The sequence below is a fragment of the Homo sapiens genome, chromosome 4 (assembly GCF_000001405.40).
Source record: "Homo sapiens chromosome 4, GRCh38.p14 Primary Assembly".
In the NCBI taxonomy this organism is placed as follows: Eukaryota; Metazoa; Chordata; class Mammalia; order Primates; family Hominidae; genus Homo; species Homo sapiens.
In genome coordinates, this window is record NC_000004.12 from 55,599,895 (window position 1) to 55,619,615 (window position 19,721).

At 37.6% G+C, this 19,721-nt stretch overlaps 1 protein-coding gene across 7 annotated transcripts in view, besides 1 other annotated feature; it reads right to left on the reverse strand.

Annotated features, from left to right (window-relative positions):
- The window catches only part of NMU (neuromedin U), a 41,563-nt gene that overhangs the window by 4,664 nt on the left and 17,178 nt on the right, over window positions 1–19,721 (reverse strand). For 2 of the 7 annotated variants that reach the window (NM_006681.4, XM_011534368.4), the window contains exons 3-8: window positions 16,444–16,491; window positions 9,226–9,285; window positions 7,543–7,572; window positions 7,404–7,454; window positions 5,381–5,455; window positions 628–681 (exon numbers count right to left, since the gene is read on the reverse strand). In NM_006681.4, the coding sequence (NP_006672.1) occupies window positions 628–681; window positions 5,381–5,455; window positions 7,404–7,454; window positions 7,543–7,572; window positions 9,226–9,285; window positions 16,444–16,491 (318 nt within the window). Of the gene's footprint in view, window positions 1–627; window positions 682–5,380; window positions 5,456–7,403; window positions 7,455–7,542; window positions 7,573–9,225; window positions 9,286–9,388; window positions 9,807–16,443; window positions 16,492–19,721 lie in introns of those variants that run through there. The other 5 variants (XM_011534367.3, NR_120489.2, NM_001292045.2 and 2 more) reach the window with 5 other exon arrangements.
- Window positions 18,049–18,098: a silencer, noted in NCBI's record as "silent region_15443". NCBI's record gives its function as "represses an Ori minimal core promoter by ATAC-STARR-seq in GM12878 lymphoblastoid cells {active_cell/tissue: GM12878}" and the evidence as "EXISTENCE:reporter gene assay evidence [ECO:0000049][PMID:35858748]".

The window sequence follows — 19,721 nt, forward strand, 5'->3', positions numbered from 1 at the left end:
TCTGTCTTTATAGTCCCAGCCCTTGGTACATTGCTCAGCACCCAGTAGAAGTTCAATAAATAGTTGTTGAATGAATTAATTAAAACTTTCTGGTAATGTATTAAGGATGCAAATATTTTGCAAAGTGTAGCTGCCTAGAAAAAAACCTCACATTTTATAGACAATGTGGACAAACAAAATCAGAACTGTAATCCTGAAATTCTGTCTACTTATACCTTTTATTATGGCAGATTCTTTTAATTTTAAGAATTTGTGAAAGTATTCGTAACTCTTCCAATCTACTGAGTCAAAAATTTTGTAAATAATTCCATAGAACATAAGGAATAGTGTATCTTTAAGACAGTTACTTTCTATACATAAAATGTCATGGAATTAAAGTGTCAAATAGGTGAATGCTATTTGAGGTGTTTAAACATGAGCAATAGGTCAAAGAAGAGATCAGAGATCAGAGATACTGTGGTATTGAAGCAATAAGGTGGTGACAGAAGTGAATGTCAGACTGTAACACCTGATGCCAAACATCTATAAACTTTAAAACTTAATTGAAATGTAAAAGTTAAATACACAGGGAACATATTTTTAAATTTTGGTGTAGATTGATTTTTTAAAAATACAGTATGTACCTACCCTGAATAAAAAATATCCTCGACTTTGACTTGCAAAGGGACTTTGGAATTCTTCCTAGAAGAGAAAATGAGGGCATTACAAATCACATAACACTAAAAATAAGTGCAAATTCTCCTTGAAAGTATATTGAGGGTCAAAATTACTTTCAACTGTCATAACTAAACATAGAGGGAATCAGGGACTTGAATAGAGAATTTTTGTATCATACCTGAAAATTTTCAACAACTAGCAGTATCATCAGAATCTTATATTTAAAAATAATTTCCTTGTCAGTGTGACAGATTTGCCTTTCAGGAATTTTGTCAGTTTTAGGTGAATTCATCAATAAGTAGAAAGAGAAATGACAGACATTTCATAATTGACTATATTTAAAATCTCCTTTCAGCATTTTGTTAGAATGAAATAATTTATTTAAAATACATATTGCATGTGTTAACCCATGAACAGGGGAAAATATAAAACAGAATTGTGTCAAAGCTAAAAAATATTATCCAATATTTCTACAGAAATGTAGTTTGAAATTGAAGGACAAATTTGGTAAATTACATTTATTCAATGAAGCTTTAGGATAGATGTTCCTAATATAATTATATGTGCAGAATGTTAATTTTTAAATATCCAAATATTAACAGGAATGACCCAATTATTCATAATAAGTATATCTTTTTCTTAAACATTTCATTTTAAGCTTCATGAAAAAAATACATTAACATTTTATGGTTTCCATAAAATTGGCTTATAGCTTCAACTTCCTATTTTCATTAACAATTACCTATATCATAAAAGCATTATCAGCATGGCTATCACCATGAAATCTTTCAGCCAAGACCTTTTTCAACTATTTTATAATATGAATACAATCATATTAAATTCTAAGAAATGGCTCTGATGTATGTTTAAATTCTGAAATACTTAGTTTGCAACAAATGTATCTTAAATCCTCAATATTTCTACTTAATTTTCATCTTTACTATAACTCCCCAAATTACTTAATATTGAAAAAAATCTGTATTTAAAAATGTACACACTGTATACATGTATCAAAATATCACATGTACCCCCAAAATATGTATAACTATAATAAACCAATGAAAAATAAAAAATAAAAGTTTAAGTTTTCAAAATTTAAAAAAATGTACACATATAAACCATATGTTTATATACCTATATAAGCAACGTTCTCAGCTGGGCACAGTGGCTCATGCCTGTAATCTGAGCACTTTGGGAGGCTGATGTCAGAGAATCACTTGAGCCCAGGAGTTTGAGACCAGCCTGGGCAACATAGAGAGACCTAGTCTCTACAAATAATAAAAAAATTTAGCCAGGTGTGATGGCATACACCTGTGGACCCAGCTCCTCAGGCTCCTCAGGAGGCTGAGGTGGGAGGATTGCCTGAGCCCAGGAGGTCAAGTCTGCAGTAAGCCATGATCACGTCACTGCACTCCAGCCTAGGTGACAGAGAAAGACCCTGTCTCAAAAAAATAATAATAATACAAATAAAAAAATTCAAATGCATATTATATTAAAGAGAAAAAACTAAAAGGCCAGACAAAATGTAAATTTAAATGTGCCAAATACAAACTTCCAAATGCTAAACCCAAACATACAGATCTTTTTAGAGTTTTATCATTAGCATAGAGCATCATATAAAATAATTTGGGAGGTAGAGATAAAAGATGTGGGAATGATATTGAAAGATGTCTAGCAAACAAAATTTAAGAAAAGTGTTTTAAAATCTAAAACCTCATTTCTTCAAGAATTCAAAATATTTCACTATCAAAGATATATTTTAAAATGAGATGACTTAGGCCCAGCAAAGCGAACACTCTCCTGCAATTGCATTTCTATTCATCTTTTACATTATTTTCTTTCATAGCTTTCTAGGAAATTGACTGGCTGCAAAATACCCTTAAGATCTATCATTTGTCTGAAAATATAGATGGTATCACTGAAGATGGAAAATTCAGTCAATGTACTAAACTGGCCACAATACTGAGTGATTAGCTTTGGTTTTGTAAATCACGGCACTGAAATAATGTAGTCACACTAATGATTGTTGGTGTCTTTTAAGAAACTGTATCTTTAAGTTGAAATTGTTTACTAATTCATAACTCGAGCAAACACTTTTAAGAAGTAAAAGTTAAATCAAAAAAGCATGTATTACTTCTAGAGAGTTTGATGACAACTGCTTTTTTCTTCATTCTGCAAATTCTAAAATTTTAAGGGGCTACTGCCTAAGATCTTACATTTCTCTTTACAGTTGGCATCAGATATTGTCTTCTTTGATGGAAACTTCATTTAAGAATGTGAAGATTCTAGGGAGGAAATACTGGCCATAAAAATAAATTTTGAGGAATATATTCACCTAAACTCTATGTGTTTTTAAAAGTATCTGAAAACTTTGGGTAGCACTTTAAGAAGAATAAATTAAATATGGTGTTGAAATTAAGGAAAACTTTGATGATCTGAACTCAACTTCTTTTTTTTCTTTTTTGAGATGGAGTCTTGCTCTGTCACCCAGGCTGGAGTGCAGTGGCACGATCTCGGCTTACTGAAACCTCTGCCTCCCTGGTTCAAACGATTCTCCTGCCTCAGCCTGCCAAATAGCTGGGATTACAGGTGCCGCCACCATGCCAGCTGATTTTTTTTTGTTTTTGTTTTTGTATTTTTAGTAGAGACGGGATTTCATCATGATGGACAGGCTGGTCTCAAACTCCTGACCTCAGGTGATCCGCCCACCTCGGGCTCCCAAAGTGCTGGGATTTCAGGCGTGAGCCACTGCGCCCAGCCTGAATTCAACTTTTAATAATAAAATACGTAATTTAAAAATAACATAATAAAAGTATCCAAATTAAACTATAAAGGGTACAGCATAGTGAAAAAAAAATTGCCTAGATCAGAATTCAGAAAACTATTTTGTACTTTCTCTTACTAATACGATCTGGGGAAACTCCTTCAACTATTCTGACTTGCTTTCCCTTTTGTAAATGGGAAATAATACTTGTATAAGTACTAACGGAGTTCCTCAAAGGATAAAATGAGATAATATAAGACTGAAAATTATAATGTATTACAGCAAGGGAAGGCATTACTTAAAAATAATCCTAGAGGCCGGGCGCAGTGGCTCACGCCTGTAATACCAGCACTTTGGGAAGCCGAGGCAGGCGGATCACGAGGTCAGGAGATCGAGACCATCCTGGCTTACACGGTGAAACTCCGTCTCTACTAAAAATACAACAAATTAGCCGGGCGTAGCGGCGGGCGCCTGTGATCCCAGCTCCTCGGGAGGCTGAGGCAGGCGAATGGTGTGAACCCGGGGGGCGGAGCTTGCAGTGAGCCGAGATCACGCCACTGCACTCCAGTCTGGGCGACAGAGCAAGAGTCCGTCTCAAAAAAAAAAAAAAAATATATATATATATATATATGTATATATGTGTATATATATACGTATATATGTATATATGTGTATATATATACGTATATATGTATATATGTGTATATATATAATCCTAGAAATTATCAGTGTTACAAGGGTTAGGATTTTTTTTCTTTTTTTTTTTTCGAGACAGAGTCTCGCGCTGTCACTCAGGCTGGAGTGCAGTGGCGAGATTTCAGCTCACTGCAACCTCTGCCTCCCCGGTTCAAGCGATTCTTCTGCCTCAGCCTCCCGAGTAGCTGGGATCACAGGCGCCCACCGCCACGCCCAGCTAATTTTTGTATTTTTAGTAGAGACGGTGTTTCACCATGTTGGCCAGGCTGGTCTCAAACTCCTGACCTCAAATGATCCACCCACCTCAGCCTCCCAAAGTGCTGGGATTACAGGCATGAGCGACAAGAGTTAGGATTCTTTTTAAATGACTGTAAAATCTCCACAGTGTAACACAGTAAGAATGTGTTAATGGGGTTACATTCATCTTACACATAGATGCTGGATTTAGGTCACATTTTTTGTTGAAAAAAACAAAGTATATATATTTAGTTTCCGATATTTACTTCACGACCCAAACTCTTACTTTTTTTTTTTTTTTTGAGACGGAGTCTTGCTCTGTCACCCAAGCTGGAGTGCAGTGCAACCTCTGCCTCCTGGGTTCAAGCGATTCTTGTGCCTCAGTCTCCGAGTACCTGGGATTACAGGCATGCGCCAATATGCCTGGCTAATTTTTTTTTTTTTTTTTTTTTTTTTGTATTTTTAGTAGGGACGGGGTTTCGCCATGTTGCCAAGGCTGGTCTTGAACTCCTGACCTCAAGGGATCCACCCACCTGGGCCTTCCAAAGTTGAAGGGATTACAGGTGTGAGCCACCAGGCCTGGCCCACTCTTAACAACATTTAAATACTTGAGCAGAAAGCTTGCCATCCTAGCTATTTGCCAAGCTGGATACAGAGGGGCAGTACATTGTCCTTTATTTGTTCTCTTATTCCTACCTAAGGACTGGACAAAAGCAGTGTCCTTTCTTAAACCAAGAATAGATTTTCTCACCAAAAGTCATGGCTTTTGGAAAACAGTATAATTCCAGCTTTCCTCAATGTCCACAGCTTCAGCTAGAAGGGACACAATATTGCAGGGGGCCATGGAAGGGCGGCTTGAACAATTCTCTTCTAGTCTACAAACAGATGCTCTTACATTGGCTAACTGGGTATTAGTGTGGGCTTATCCTGAAGAGCAGCATTTGATGAACTACCACAGCTGGGAATTAACAGAAAGGGCTGCCCCACACGGAATGGCAAAGCCAGCATGCAGTTTGTATTACATACGTCCACTCTGAATCTCTTCATTCTTCTCTCATGCAGGTGAGGAACGAGCTGCAGCAACGGATGCACAACTGACGACTGAGAGGACATGAACACACACGTGAATAAGTGCATGGCTTCTCAGCAGTGGCCATCAAGACGGTTTCCTATTTGTTTTTGTTTTTACCCACTAAACTTGTCCCAGACAAAACAGAAAATTAAAGATGTCACCTAAAACAGGTCTTTGGGAGCAATTCGAAGAACTGTGGAGAATAAACCAAGAGGTGGGATAAAATTTGGTAGCTCTACGCTGGGATTTTTATCCTCATATTGAGAAGAAGCACTTTCCTGACGGCTGCAGCTCTCTTGTGAACTGTCAGCAAGTAAAACCCCTCACTGCCTCTTTGAGAGGCAAAAGGCAGTCTGTCTGTTACTAGACTTACTCAAAATAATTCGGACCAGGCGAAACCCACACTGCCAGTAGCAATTTTCCACTATAAACATGTTAATCTGGAAGATTATACTATACACACATCTAATAACCTCCTTTATAAATTATATACTTAAAACGGAAACGTTGGGAGCAAGACAACAATGTGTGAAAATGACAATGTGTTCTCGATAGTGAAAACTGTGACTAAGATACATTTTCCCAAAATGTAAAGGTGTCAAGCCAAAGAAATTGAAAGCACACTTGAGATATGTAGCTACCTATCTGATATGGCTGCATTTTTTAAAAAGGTATGGGTCACATTGAGACTTCTCATTAATCTTAAATTCATTTATCACATGGATTATGTTGAGCCCTGTATAACAGTTATCTGTGAACTAATTCAACTTGTACTTGGTTTAAAGCCAGTATAATCTTTCGCCTCCTCATATGTAATATTCCATGTGATAAATATTTCAAACTGAGTTTAAGATTATAGTTACCTTTCCATAGGTATATATCTGTTTAAAATACACTATGCTCCTCATTCCCTAAATTGGTTCATGGAAGTGAATCACAAGTGTGGAAATAGTATTATAGTCAAATAATTTCTAAGTATCCTAGATTGAAACACCAAGTAGGTTGGTTAACATTTTTAAAACCCATGCATACAAAAAGAAAAACTACCGCTAATACTACATGATTTTAAAGTGAACTGAATTCAAATTATTGGTTTTTGGCTAACCTTAGAGAATACATTCTCACATTAAATGCCTAATTACTAATAAGAAGATCTTACGAATAGAAGAGGATATTTCTAATTATATTTAATTACATTTTTGACAATCATTCTTTAAATAAAAAATGCCCTTGGATCAAATGATTTTTAAATTTGCAACAATTGCCATCTGAAACAATATGTTTTACTTATTTATTTGCTTTTTTTATTTTCTTGGTCTTTAGAATGTGTTTCACAAAAGCAGGGATTTTTCTTTCTTTTCTTTTTTTTTTTTTTGAGACAGAGTATCGCTCTGTCGTCCAGGCTGGAGTGCAGTGGCGTGATCTCAGCTCACTGCAACCTCCACCTCCTGGGTACAAGCAATTCTCTTGCCTCAACCTCCCGAGTAGCTGAGACCACAGGCGTGCCCCACCACACCTGGCTAATTTTTGTATTTTTAGTAGAGACAGGGTTTCACCATGTTGGCCAGGCTGGTCTCGAACTCTGGACTTCAAGTGATCCTCCCGCCTCGGCCTCCCAAACTGCTGGGATTACAGGCATGAGCCACCATACCTGGCCAGGGATTTCTTTTTTAAATTTTGTTTTATTTATTGCTATATTTCTAGTACCTAGGATTGTGCCTGGCACATAGCATATAGCTAATACTTTGTAAATAACTGTTAAATGAATGAATGAACGAATCAATTTAATGTACAGGTAGTAATTGACATATAAAATAAATCAAATGTATAATAAATATTGAATTTCATTCCTTTACTCACATATAAACTTTTAAAGTAAAAAATTTGAATTCTGATCTAGCTCTATTATGCTGCAAAAACAGTTTCATTCTTTTAAACAAATATTAGTGATTACTAAGAAGTAGTTCTACAACTTACCACAACATTTGACTTGCCCAACTTCTGTGTCTTCGAATAATGAAATAAGAACTGTTTAAAAAAAGCAGTAAGTTTTACTATAAAAATTAATGGTTCCCTTATTATTTTATAAGGTATAGATGTATGAAAATCATCTTACCCTTTTAGTATTATCTTTTTCATCTTGTTCCTATTGAAAAGAGATATTGTATATATCATTATATATTGTAAAATTTTACTATCTTATATACAGTAATTTTATAATGTTATAACACATAATTATTTAAAACACATGACTCATGTTACATATAAAATACAAGACTGAAATTAGTTAAGCATCCGTTGCTCTAAAAATAAATGGGAAATTAATTGAATATTGTTTACAAATAAAGATGTGCATAAAGATCTCTTTACTGCAACTTTATTCATAAGTGTAAAAAATTGGAAACATCCTAAATATTCAACAGTGGTAGAATGGGAAATTATTATATCATGACATGATGGAATATTCAGAGGAGAAGACTGAAAGAATCACATGCAAATATTTTTACTGTTTATCACTAAATATGAAGGTTATGAGTTGGTTTTGATGTCTTCCATAAAAAAATTTTTAGCCGGGCGCGGTGGCTTGCGCCTGTAATCCCAGCACTTTGGGAGCCCGAGGTGGGCGGATCACAAGGTCAGGAGACTGAGACGATCCTGGCTAACACGGTGAAACCCTGTCTCTACTAAAAAAAATACAAAAAATTAGCCAGGCCTGGTGGGGCGAGCGCCTGTAGTCCCAGCTATTCAGGAGGCTGAGGCAGAAGAATGGCGTGAACCTGGGAGGCGGAGCTTGCAGTGAGCCGAGATGGCGCCACTGTACTCCAGCCTGGGCGACAGAGCGAGACTCCATCTCAAAAAAAAAAAAAAAAAAAATTTAAATCTTATAATTCCTTTTTTGTTGTTGTTCTTTCTCACTTGCTTTTAATACAAATGGAAGACCATGAATAAACACCGTTGTCATTTCTTTTATCTTAATTAGGAAAAAATCAATTACGCTTTTTGGACAATGTCACCATTAGAAACAATGGATAAATATACAATTTCAGGCAGAGATTATTTAGTTTCATAAAACATTTATGCTTTCAAATTATGAATGTTTTTTTCTTTGAATTATTATATATGAAAGGTATGGAAGTCAGAGTGTACCAATCACCACAGATTAAGTTAGAATTGCCAATGAAAAATATAATTCCAAACCTGAAGCTCTCATCTTTAATAAAGTAGCTTTAAAATAAGTTCATCCATAAGATAGAGATTATAAAATTAGGTATGGTGCTTATGCTACTTTTCAAGTTCCCATCTACTCTCACTCCAGGACAAAAAGTTCTCCCAGAAGAATCAGGTAATTTTAATAAGAAACCAAGACAATGACAATACAGTTTGCTTTTTTTTTTTGCATTCTTAATGCCCTACTCTCCCACAAAGTACAATGTCCTGACCTTTGAACCATAAGATGTGCTTAGCAGCTTAGAAAGATGCATCTGTTCTCCAAAGTAGCATGAGTCAGGGCAAAAAAAAGAGAGCCAACATGACCCCATATTTATTCCTCCGGACTGGAACTCATTTTATATTTGATGGGGTGATATGATTTCCCAATTAGATTACTGTAAGCTCCATTAATATGATGCTCAATTCTCAGACATCAGAGAACCTGAAGTATTTCTTATCCAAAAACAATTTTTCCTCTTCTAACCTGTCTTGGCATGCTTCCTAAATTGGGCATATTTTCTTCCAGGAGAAATTCCAAGAAATTTTTGGATAATTTTTGTCTACAAACAAAACACTATTTCAAGCTTACCTGAGGCTTTGGTAGCATTCCCATAATCATAAAGCAAAGCTCCTCCAGTGCGTTGGATGCCTAACAGAAATGAGAAGATATGTAAGTTATGCTTCTGCTTTAACGACATTTACATAGAAGAGGTAACTACAAAATGTTAGGGGCATGAGGAAATGCTAACTACCTGGAAAAGAATCCTTCTGTAGATTATTAAAACTGTTGGAATCCTTTGATTTCTCTCACAACAAAAACTTGGCTGTAAAAGTAAAGCCTTCCTTCTAACCAGAAAAAAAAAAAAGGTAAGTACGGTACATATGCACTCATGAAGGCTTCCGCTGTGATCTAGATACATAGTTCTCAGCACTTGCTAAAATATTATGAAATTCTATGACTGAGAGTAACAAGGGACAGTGCCAGAAGAGGAATTATTCTTCCCAGCTTGTAGCAAAATCTGTATCTACATGCCAAAGCTGTGAGCCTCGCTGAATATTACTCATTATTGGCTAATTTGAAAATCCTGCAATTGCTCAAAAACAATGGGAAGTGGAGGAGAAGAACCCATGCGTGGTGCACCTAATCTGAGTACCACCCTTCCAGATTGCTGACTGCACAGCCCAGGATCAGGTTTTTCAAAGCATTCGAGCACAGAAGTAGGGCAGGGCTCTGTGGTTAGCAGCCAGCTGGGTGTGGTAAGGAGTAGAAGAAATGGACAAGCAGGGGCGAAACCTGCTTTGCACAGAATTTAGCACAGTAGCACCATAAACAATTGATTACTTAATGTATGCATTTTGGAAGTAATGAAGAACTAGAACAGTAGGGAGGGCAATGTAATTAGTGGTTAAAAGCATGAGCTATGGAGTTGGGAAGCCTGTAACTCTATCGCAGTGCAAATTCCATTTCTGCTCTTTATTAGCTGTGTAACCTTAGGCTGGTTACCTAACCTCTCTTAATTTCCGTTTCTTCAGCTCTAAGTCGGGGATGACATTGCTGCAGAGAGTTCTTAGAAGAATTAAATGTAGGTAAAGTTCTCAGGTTGATTTACAGCTGAAGGGATTCTTAATTTAGAAGTTAAATGAAAAAGAGGTCGGGTGCAGGGGCTCACGCCTGTAATGCCAGCACTTTGGGAGGCTGAGGCAGATGGATCACCTGAGGTCAGGAATTCGAGACCAGCCTGGCCAACACGGTGAAACCCAGTCTCTACTAAAATACAAAAAATTAGCCGGGCATGTTAGCACACGCCTGTAATTCCAGCTACTCGGGAGGCTGAGGCAGGAGAATCACTTGAACCTGGGAGGCAGAGGTTGCAGTGAGCCGAGATCTCGACACTGCACTCCAGCCTGGGTGATGGAGTGAGACTCTGTCTCAGAAAAAAAAAAAAAAGAAAGACATATGAAAAGAATTGTTCAAGGCCTCCAGTAGTCTCACCTCCTCTCCCTTTGAACAACAGTACATGCTTGACATGGTTGGTTGTGGTTAGAGACACAGGTGGAGTTGACAGTTTTTCTGTGCACCCTTCCTAGCATCAGAGGCCTGCTTTGTTCTCTTCATTCCATTTGTTTGCTTGTCATGCAAATTCTTGGGATATTTATTAATAATGCCTCATATGTACATAGTGTTTCAATAAATTATAAAACATTTTCATATACAGTCATGCACCACATAAGGGCATGTCAGTCAATGAGTCAATGATAGAATGCGTATACAATGATGGTCACATAAGATTATTATGAAGCTGAAAAACTCCTATCATCTAGTCACATCTTAATGATCCTGACCTGTGTAGGCCTAGGCTAATATGCATGCTTGTGTCTTCATTTTTAACAACAAAGTTTAAAAAGTCAAAAAAATTCTTTTTAATTTCAAAAGCTTATAGAATGAGGATATAAAGAAAGAAAATATTTCGTACACCTGTTCAGCATGTTTGTGTTATAAGCCAAGTGTCATTACAAAAGAGAAAAAAGTTCTAAAATATTAAAAAGTTGGCCAGGAACGGTGGCTCATGCCTGTAATTCCAGCACTTTGGGAGGCCAAGGTGGAAGAACTGCTTGAGCCCAGGAGTTTGAGACCAGCCTGGACAACATAGCAAGATCCTGTCTCTACAAAAAACACAAAAAATTAGCCAGGTGTGGTGGTGCATGCCTGTAGTCCCAGCTACTCAGGAGGCTGAAATGGGAGGATCATCTGAGCCCAGGAGTTCGAGGCTGCAGTGAGCCATGATTATGCCACTGCACTCCAGCCTGGATGACAGAATGAAACCCTGTCTTGAAAAAGAAAAAATTAAAAAGTTTATAAAAGTAAAAAAGTTACAGTAAGCTAAGGTTAATTTATTATTGAAGAGAGAAAAATTTTTAAATAAATTTAACGCAGCCTAAGTTTACAGTGTTTATGAAATCTGCAGTAGTGTATTGTAATGTCCTAGGCCTTCACATTCACTCATTACTGACTCACTGACTCACCCAAAGCAACTTCCAGTCTTTCAAGCTCCATTCATGGTGAGTGCCCTATACAAGTGTATCATTTTTTATCTTTTACATTATGTATTTACTGTACCTTTTCTACATTTAGATATGTTTAATTACATAGTGTGTTACAACTGCCCACAATATTCAGTACAGTAATGTGCTGTACAGGTTTGTAGCCATATAGCCTAGGTGTGTAGTAGGCTGTACATCTAGATTTGTGTAAGTACGCTCTATGATGTTTATACAATGACAAATCATCCAAGGACATATTTCTCAGAATGTATATCCCCATTTTTAAGTGATGCATGACTATACGTAATTTGTATTCTGTCCTACACAGGACATGAATTGTTATTCTCATATACAGAGGAAGTAAGGTTCTAAGAGACTGTCACTTGCCCAATACCACACATGGCTAGGAGTTGGAGGAGTGTGGCCTGGGACCTTGGCCTTCTGATTTGTAGATATTATTGTGTTGCATTGGTATTGCCTGCTAAGCCTGGAGTTGGGAGTTGGCTGCGAGAAAAACTAGAGTGTGAACACTGATACATCCTTTCTCACTGGTTATATTTAAGGGCTGAATACACAGGTCACCCCACAAAAATCTGAAATAAAATCCCTATAACTTCCCTTAACAGCTTGGTCAAGACAGTGAGACCCCCATCTTTACACAAAATTGTTTTCTTTTAATTAGCTGGGCATGGTGGCATGCTCCTGTAGTCCCAGCTATTCAGGAGGCTGAGGTGGGAGGATTGCTTGAGCCCAGGAGTTCGTAGCTGTGGCGAGCTATAATTGTACCACTGCATTCCAGCCTGGGCGACAGAGTGAGACCCTATCTCTAAAAACAAAAACAAAATGCTCCACTTATGCTCATTTCAAAATAGAAAATACAAAACAATAAGAAGAAAATACCCAGTGATGTCATGTGTCAAAAATGTATTTCACCTCAAAGAAGAATAAACACGTATGGCTGATTTCAAAATAGAAAATACAAAACAATAGAAAGAAAATACCTAGTGATGTCATGTTTCAAAAATGTATTTCAACTCAAAGAAGAATAAATTCACACATGAGTTGTTTCTTCTTAGAAAACAGTTTCTAAGCTGGATGAGCTTCAGTAAGATTGAACTTTGACTGAAAAAGTTTCAAAGCAAGTGCATTTTCCCCAACTCCCCTTTACAAGAAGCCAATTCTCAACTATTCTTCAAGGATTTAAATACATGAAAGTTTTAATATCTTATTTTTAAATGTATAGACCTTAAAGATAACATTTTCTACTTGGTAAAAATGTTTCAAAGCAATGGTCATGTAATCACATAAATAATAAGATAATAGTATATGTGAAAATTAACAATGTTTTAAAATTGTATCAAATTTGGTGGTACATATACACCACCGAATACTACACAGCCATAAAAAAGAATGAGATCATATCCTTTGCAGCAACATGGATGGAGCTGGAGGGTATTACCCTAAGCGAAATAACATAGGAACAGAAAACCAAATACCACACGTTCTCACTTATAAGTAGGAGCTAAACACGGATGCACGTGGGCAAAGAGAAGGAAACAGTAGATACCGAGGCCTACTTGAGAGTAGAGGGTGGAAAGAGGGTTAGGATAAAAAAAATACCTATTTAGTACTATGCTTATTACCTGGGTGATGAAATAATCTATACACCAAACCTCCACAACACACTTTAACTACATAACAAATCTGCACATTTACCCCTGAACCTAAAATTAAAAAAAAAATTATTTAGGTTCTGTAGGCTCTATCAAGGGATTTTGATACTATTCTAATTGTAATAAGAAACCATAGGAAGATTTGGAGCAAAGCAGTGATATGATGACTTAGTATTTTAAATGACTAAGTGATGCTAAAACCTTAAATCTGAGTACAACAATAGTTATACTTATCACTAGTTTTCAGTTGTGTACCGAATTGCCCACTCATGAATTGAGTTTATTATCAATGTTTTGAGAAAATAATGACAATTTTTAGAAATTATAGTAATTAGTTATAATAATATCCCCATTGAATCACGCCCCCCTGTATCCATTGCCTTTATGCAGTCAGTCCCCTAACGCAGACACTGAGTGTGGCCCCCCACATTGACTCTTTGTCTTGCTTTGGCCAGTGAGGCATGAGTAAATATGTCACAAGCAGAGGTTTGAAACCCAATTAGGTGATGGAGCTTGCTCTCCCACAGCTGGTGGAACCCAGCAACCATGTGAAAAAGCTCAGACTACCCTGCTGGACTGTAAGTAACACTTCACCCGGTTGCCTCCACCACCCCTGCTGATAGCCAGCCAGCGACCACCAAGCATATGAAGAAACCCAGCCACAGAAGTAAGCCCATAAAATGATATATTCCCAAAACATTAGGAATACAAAAAACAATTCCTAATTTATTAATATTACTTATTCTTGTGAAGGTACCCAAATACAGTTACTATACATAAGCACCATTCCAAAGAGATGCATCTGTATTAGTTTAGCAGCTATTTCTAGGGAAGGGACTTGTGAATCTATCTCTTTTATATAATTTCTTTCATTTCTTTCCTTTGAGTTTTTTGTAATTCATAATTTCACAAGTTTCAAAACTAAAAAATTATAAGATGATATCCAGTTAAAAAGTCCTCCTGTTTCTGTCCTATCCACCTAGGACTCCCCTTCCACATAACCATTATCATTTATTTTGTATGTATTCTTCCAGAATTTATATTTTTTATTTGAGAGCCAAATCAGTAAAACCATATTTATATGGTTTTTAAACTAATGAATGGGCCAAAAAAAAGGGATGATATAATGATATTTGTTACAAGAGAACAATTTCTGCATAGCATGTTTGCTACTGGGTCTTATTAACTAAGTAATTAAAGAGATATTTATTGAGTCTCTTCTCAAGCATGATTCCAGGTGCTGGCTATAAATGTATCCTATATAAGAACATCACCAATATACTACAGTGAAACCAAAATTAGGTTTTAATGCATAGCTTTAATTTCACATGTAATAAAACAATAATTTTTTAAAGTATTAAATTTATTACAATTTCAATTGCAAATGTAAAACTTTCAAATAGTAAATTTACTAAGCTCCTCTTGAAAGAGGCACAGTACTGAAATCCAGTCAAACATTAGTTTATCTTGATGAAGTTTAAATGAGTGCTTTAAAATTCATCCTCTTAGTACTAAAGAACTAGAAGTGATTTTGAGGATGTTCCTGAATTTTAAATACAATACAAATGCATATATGCTGATTAATATAATCTCATGTTATTAATATATATCTGCCAATGCTCCTTGAATAATTTGAAATATTGTTCAAAAACATCATCTATTGTGATTCTGGTCTTGCTTTACTATCTAATACCTCAAATTTCCAGCAGGTACCTACGGAATGGGTTGAGGCAGGAGAAATACAACACTATACAAGGCTGTTTCTTCACACTGGCCAGGAAAACACAACTGGAGACTGTGTGACCAACAGCCTGGGCACCTCGGCCAAACTATGTAGGGAGTATGCCGCAGGCGCATAGCTGATGACTCTGAAAGCAGCAGCATCCAGTAAAGACAATGTAAGAACACACTTATTCCCCACTTCTTAAGTGTCCATGCAGAGGAGCTAGATTAGCACTCCTGGCCTCTTTCCAAAACCTCCTCTTAATTCTTTTCTATTGAAGAGGAGTGAGCTGTCTGGTAGGTGAACTGAGAGGAAGAAACTGGGCATGTTCAGTTCAGCTCTTTCCTCTATAGAGTCAGTGTTCTTGCTCTGGTCAGCTGTTCTTGCTTGGTCTCTGCCCTGTGGCTGAGAATCTGACTGGTGGAAAGCTCAGAGTCACTGTCTGGGACTTGCAGGCAAGTTTAATTCTGGAGGCAATTATAGCAAACACGCTTGATATCAGATCTGAAGCCACAGTAACAAATGGACTTTTCAGTTATAATGATGATGCTTTGACCTCCAAAAGTCTGACTCATAAATTCATCTCTCAATGGTTTCAAACTCAATTGGGAGATAGGATATTTGTCCCCAAATACAGCAATAGATACAGTATTTTAAATTTTTATTATTATTTAAACTTTTATTTTAGGTTCAGGAGTACATGTGCAAGATTGTCATGTAGGTAAACTTGTGTCACAGGGGTCTGTTATACAGATTATTTCATCACCCAGGTACTAAATCTAGTACCCAATAGTTACTGATCCTCTCCCTCCTCCCACCTCCACCCTCTAGCAGGCCCTGTGTCTGTTGTTCCCCTCTTTGTGTCCATGTGTTCTCGTCACTTAACTCCCACTTATAAGTGAGAACATGCAATATTTGGTTTTCTGTTCCTGTGTTAGTTTGCTTAAATTTTTATTATTTGGTGGAGACGGGGTCTTGCTATGTTGCCCAGGCTAGTCTTGAACTCCCAGCCTCAAGTGATCCTCCCACCTGGGCCTCTCAAAGCACTGGGATTACAGGCATGAGCCACTGCACCCTGACAGATACAGTATTTCTAACTTAACACATAATTTGATTTTGAAATTAACATTTTAATTTGACGTTACAAAATACGTGTATATTGTCTGCAAATCTATTTTATTTAGAGATGAAAGCCCTAGCACATTACAACACAAGCCCACAGTATTGATTATTATCTACAGCAAATGTAATAATATCTCACACGTTGACATGTTTTCACGAACACATAAAGGTTCCAAAGGCAGCAATGGAGAGTTTAAGCACTACACAAACACCTACATTATTACAAAATATCTTCAATTGGAATTACCTGAGGCTGAGAATCAATGGACAGAAAAGACGAACAAGTATCATCTATCTGTAGAAAACAAAAATGTCAGTTACATCCTGGGAATGGACAGAAAATAACAGAAAGTAGATTTTACAAAGTCACATTACCTATGGAACATTAACCACAGTTCCATGATAGTTTAGGACTCTGGATTTGGAAGACAGGAGCCTCAAAAACTTTATAAGAGAGTCTTGGAAATGAGACTTCCCTCAAGATGTCCCCCTGACCGCAGGGTATACGTCTCTAGTGACTGCTGACAGGGACCATCCTAGGGCATGAAGATGCCTCACATTAATATATTGAGGAAAAGACTTTTCACGTATTATTTAGCCTGAGAAATGTGAGAGCTGGCTAAAGAATGACCTTGAAATTAAGGCAGACCTTTGGTTATCATATGGTTCTTTATGACACATGAACCTAATGTCACCTAAATTAACATAATAACAGCATGATAAACAGCATACCAGAAAAATTGTTCATACAACATAGGCAATCCACTAGATCTCTCCCATGAAACCAGTATTGGAAGAGAGTTCTATTTTATAATGAGGGTTTATTGAGCTACAGTTGGCAACTAACTATTTTCAGTCCTTATCCTAAAAAGAAAACTTGAGACTTTAAACGGTAGAATGAGAGACTTATATTAATCATAAAAAACCTATGCTGAGAAGTTAAGCACTAAGCTGGATGTCTGGCGTTGTTTATGACATTTATTTCTTTGATGGCCTTTTAAAATGGAACTGGAAAAAAATGGTACTGATTCTTGTCTCTCTGGAATGATAGAGGTTGAGTCCTATTCATGGTATTCCATCTCAGAGGCCAGTTTCAGTACCAGAATTCTTTTTCTCATACCAGGGGGCGGATTATTATACTCTACTGTCATAAATTCTCAAGCTCCTCATTGCTTCCAAGTTGAACATGTCCTAAAATATATTATTTCCTAACTTAGAGAATAACAAAGGTATAAGATATTACAGAAAAAGCATAAGCTTATGTCTCCTTCCTTTTTATCCTCACAGAACTTTTATCCTCCTTTTATCCTCATCTTCCCTTTATGTCCCAAATATTTGGGGAATTGTTTGTTCCACTCATCCTTTGCACCCACCCACCTGGTCCCTCTTCCTTGCCATACAAACCTGAAATCATGGACACACACACACACACACAAACACACACACACTGAGGGTAGGGGCCGTGTTATCGCTAAATTGCCCAGAATAAGTGTTCAACAAAAATCCTTTAATTAAGTTGTATTAAACTTGTGGGGGGGAAAAAAGTGAATTGAGAGGGGAAAGTCAAAAAGATAACCATTTTAAAGCTCTGACTTTTGAGCAATGCTTACTACATCACCTCCAAATGTCACCTTCTGTGGTTCAGTAGGGTAGGAGAAAGTAGTTCCTACTCTTTTATGGTGTGCAGGTATCTGAAGACATTACCCACTCCAGGGGAACACTGTCCACCCACAGACCAGGCTGCCCATCTATGTGAGGTGGTCCATGTTCAAGAACAGAGAACCCTTGAATCTCAGGACATCAACGTCATTTGAATAAAAACATCAGACTTTTAAAAACCCAGTTAGTCAAATTAGGAGATAACTGCAAAGTTTTTCAGTCTTTGTTCTCATTTCTTTGAAGGACACAGGAACTCTGCTTGCCCACTTTCCATTTGAGTAAGCATTTGTTCACTGTACTCAGCATATGGCTCTAATGGTTTTGAATGCCACTGACTGCTTTTGAGAACTCTGTACAGACCATTGGTAAATCTCATTGAAAATGTTTAGGTCTCTACATATGGTTAGAAAGAATGTGTTTCTAGTGCCTGGGTAGCTCTGTAATTATTATTATTTATTTATTTTAATTTTACTTTAAGTTCTGGGAAACATGTGCAGAACGTGCAGGTTTGTTACATAGGTATACACATGCCATGGTGGTTTGTTGCACCCATCAACTCGTCATCTAGGTTTTAAGCCCCGCATGCATTAGGTATTTGTCTTAATGCTCTCCCTCCCCTTGCCCCCCAACACCCCCGACAGGCTCCGGTGTGTGATGTTCCCCTCCCTGTGTCCACTTGTTCTCATTGTTCAACTCCCACTTACGAGTGAGAAATTGTGTTTGGTTTTCTGTTCCTGTGTTGGTTTGCTGTAGCTCTGTAATTTTTAAATCTTCAAGCAGAAAAATTAACTATATGTTCCTAGCATCTTAACTTCCTTTCTTTCTTTTCTTTCTTTCTTGTCTTTCTTTCTTCTCCTTCTTTTCTCTCTCCTCTTTCTTCTTTCTTTTCTTCTCTCTTTCTTTCTCATCTTTCTTCTCTCTCTTCCTTTCTTCTCTCTTTCTTCTCTCTCTTCTTTCTTTTTCTTTCTTCTCTCTTTCTTCTTTCTTTCTTTTTCTTCTCTTTCTTTCTTCTCTCTCTTTCTTCTCTTTCTTTCCCTTTCTTTCTTCTCTTCCTTTTCTTCTCTTTCTTCTCTCTTTCTTCTTTCTTTTCTCTCTCTTTCTTTCTTCTCTCTCTCTTTCTTTCTTTCTCTCTTTCTTTTTTTTTTTTTGTCTGGCTGTCACCCAGATTGCAGTGCAGTGGTACAATAAGGGCTCACTGCAGCCTTGACTTCTTGGGCTCAAGTGATCCTCCAACCTCAACCTCCTGAGTAGCTGGGACCACAGGCAAGCACCACCATGCCTGGCTTATTTTTTATTATTTATAGAGATGAGGTCTCACTATGTTACCCAGGCTGGTCTTGAACTTCTGAGCTCAAGTGATCCTCCTGCTGCCTCGGCCTGTCAAAGAACTGATATTAGGGTTCAGGGAGGAGCCAAGATGGCCGAATAGGAACAGCTCCGGTCTACAGCTCCCAGCGTGAGCGACGCAGAAGACGGGTGATTTCTGCATTTCCATCTGAGGTACCGGGTTCATCTCACTAGGGAGTGCCAGACAGTGGGCGCAGGCCAGTGGGTGCGCGCACCTTGCGCGAGCCGAAGCAGGGCGAGGCATTGCCTCACCTGGGAAGCGCAAGGGGTCAGGGAGTTCCCTTTCCGAGTCAAAGAAAGGGGTGACGGACGCACCTGGAAAATCGGGTCACTCCCACCCGAATATTGCGCTTTTCAGACCGGCTTAAGAAACGGCGCACCACGAGACTATATCCCACACCTGGCTCAGAGGGTCCTACGCCCACGGAATCTCGCTGATTGCCAGCACAGCAGTCTGAGATCAAACTGCAAGGCGGCAGCGAGGCTGGGGGAGGGGCGCCCGCCATTGCCCAGGCTTGC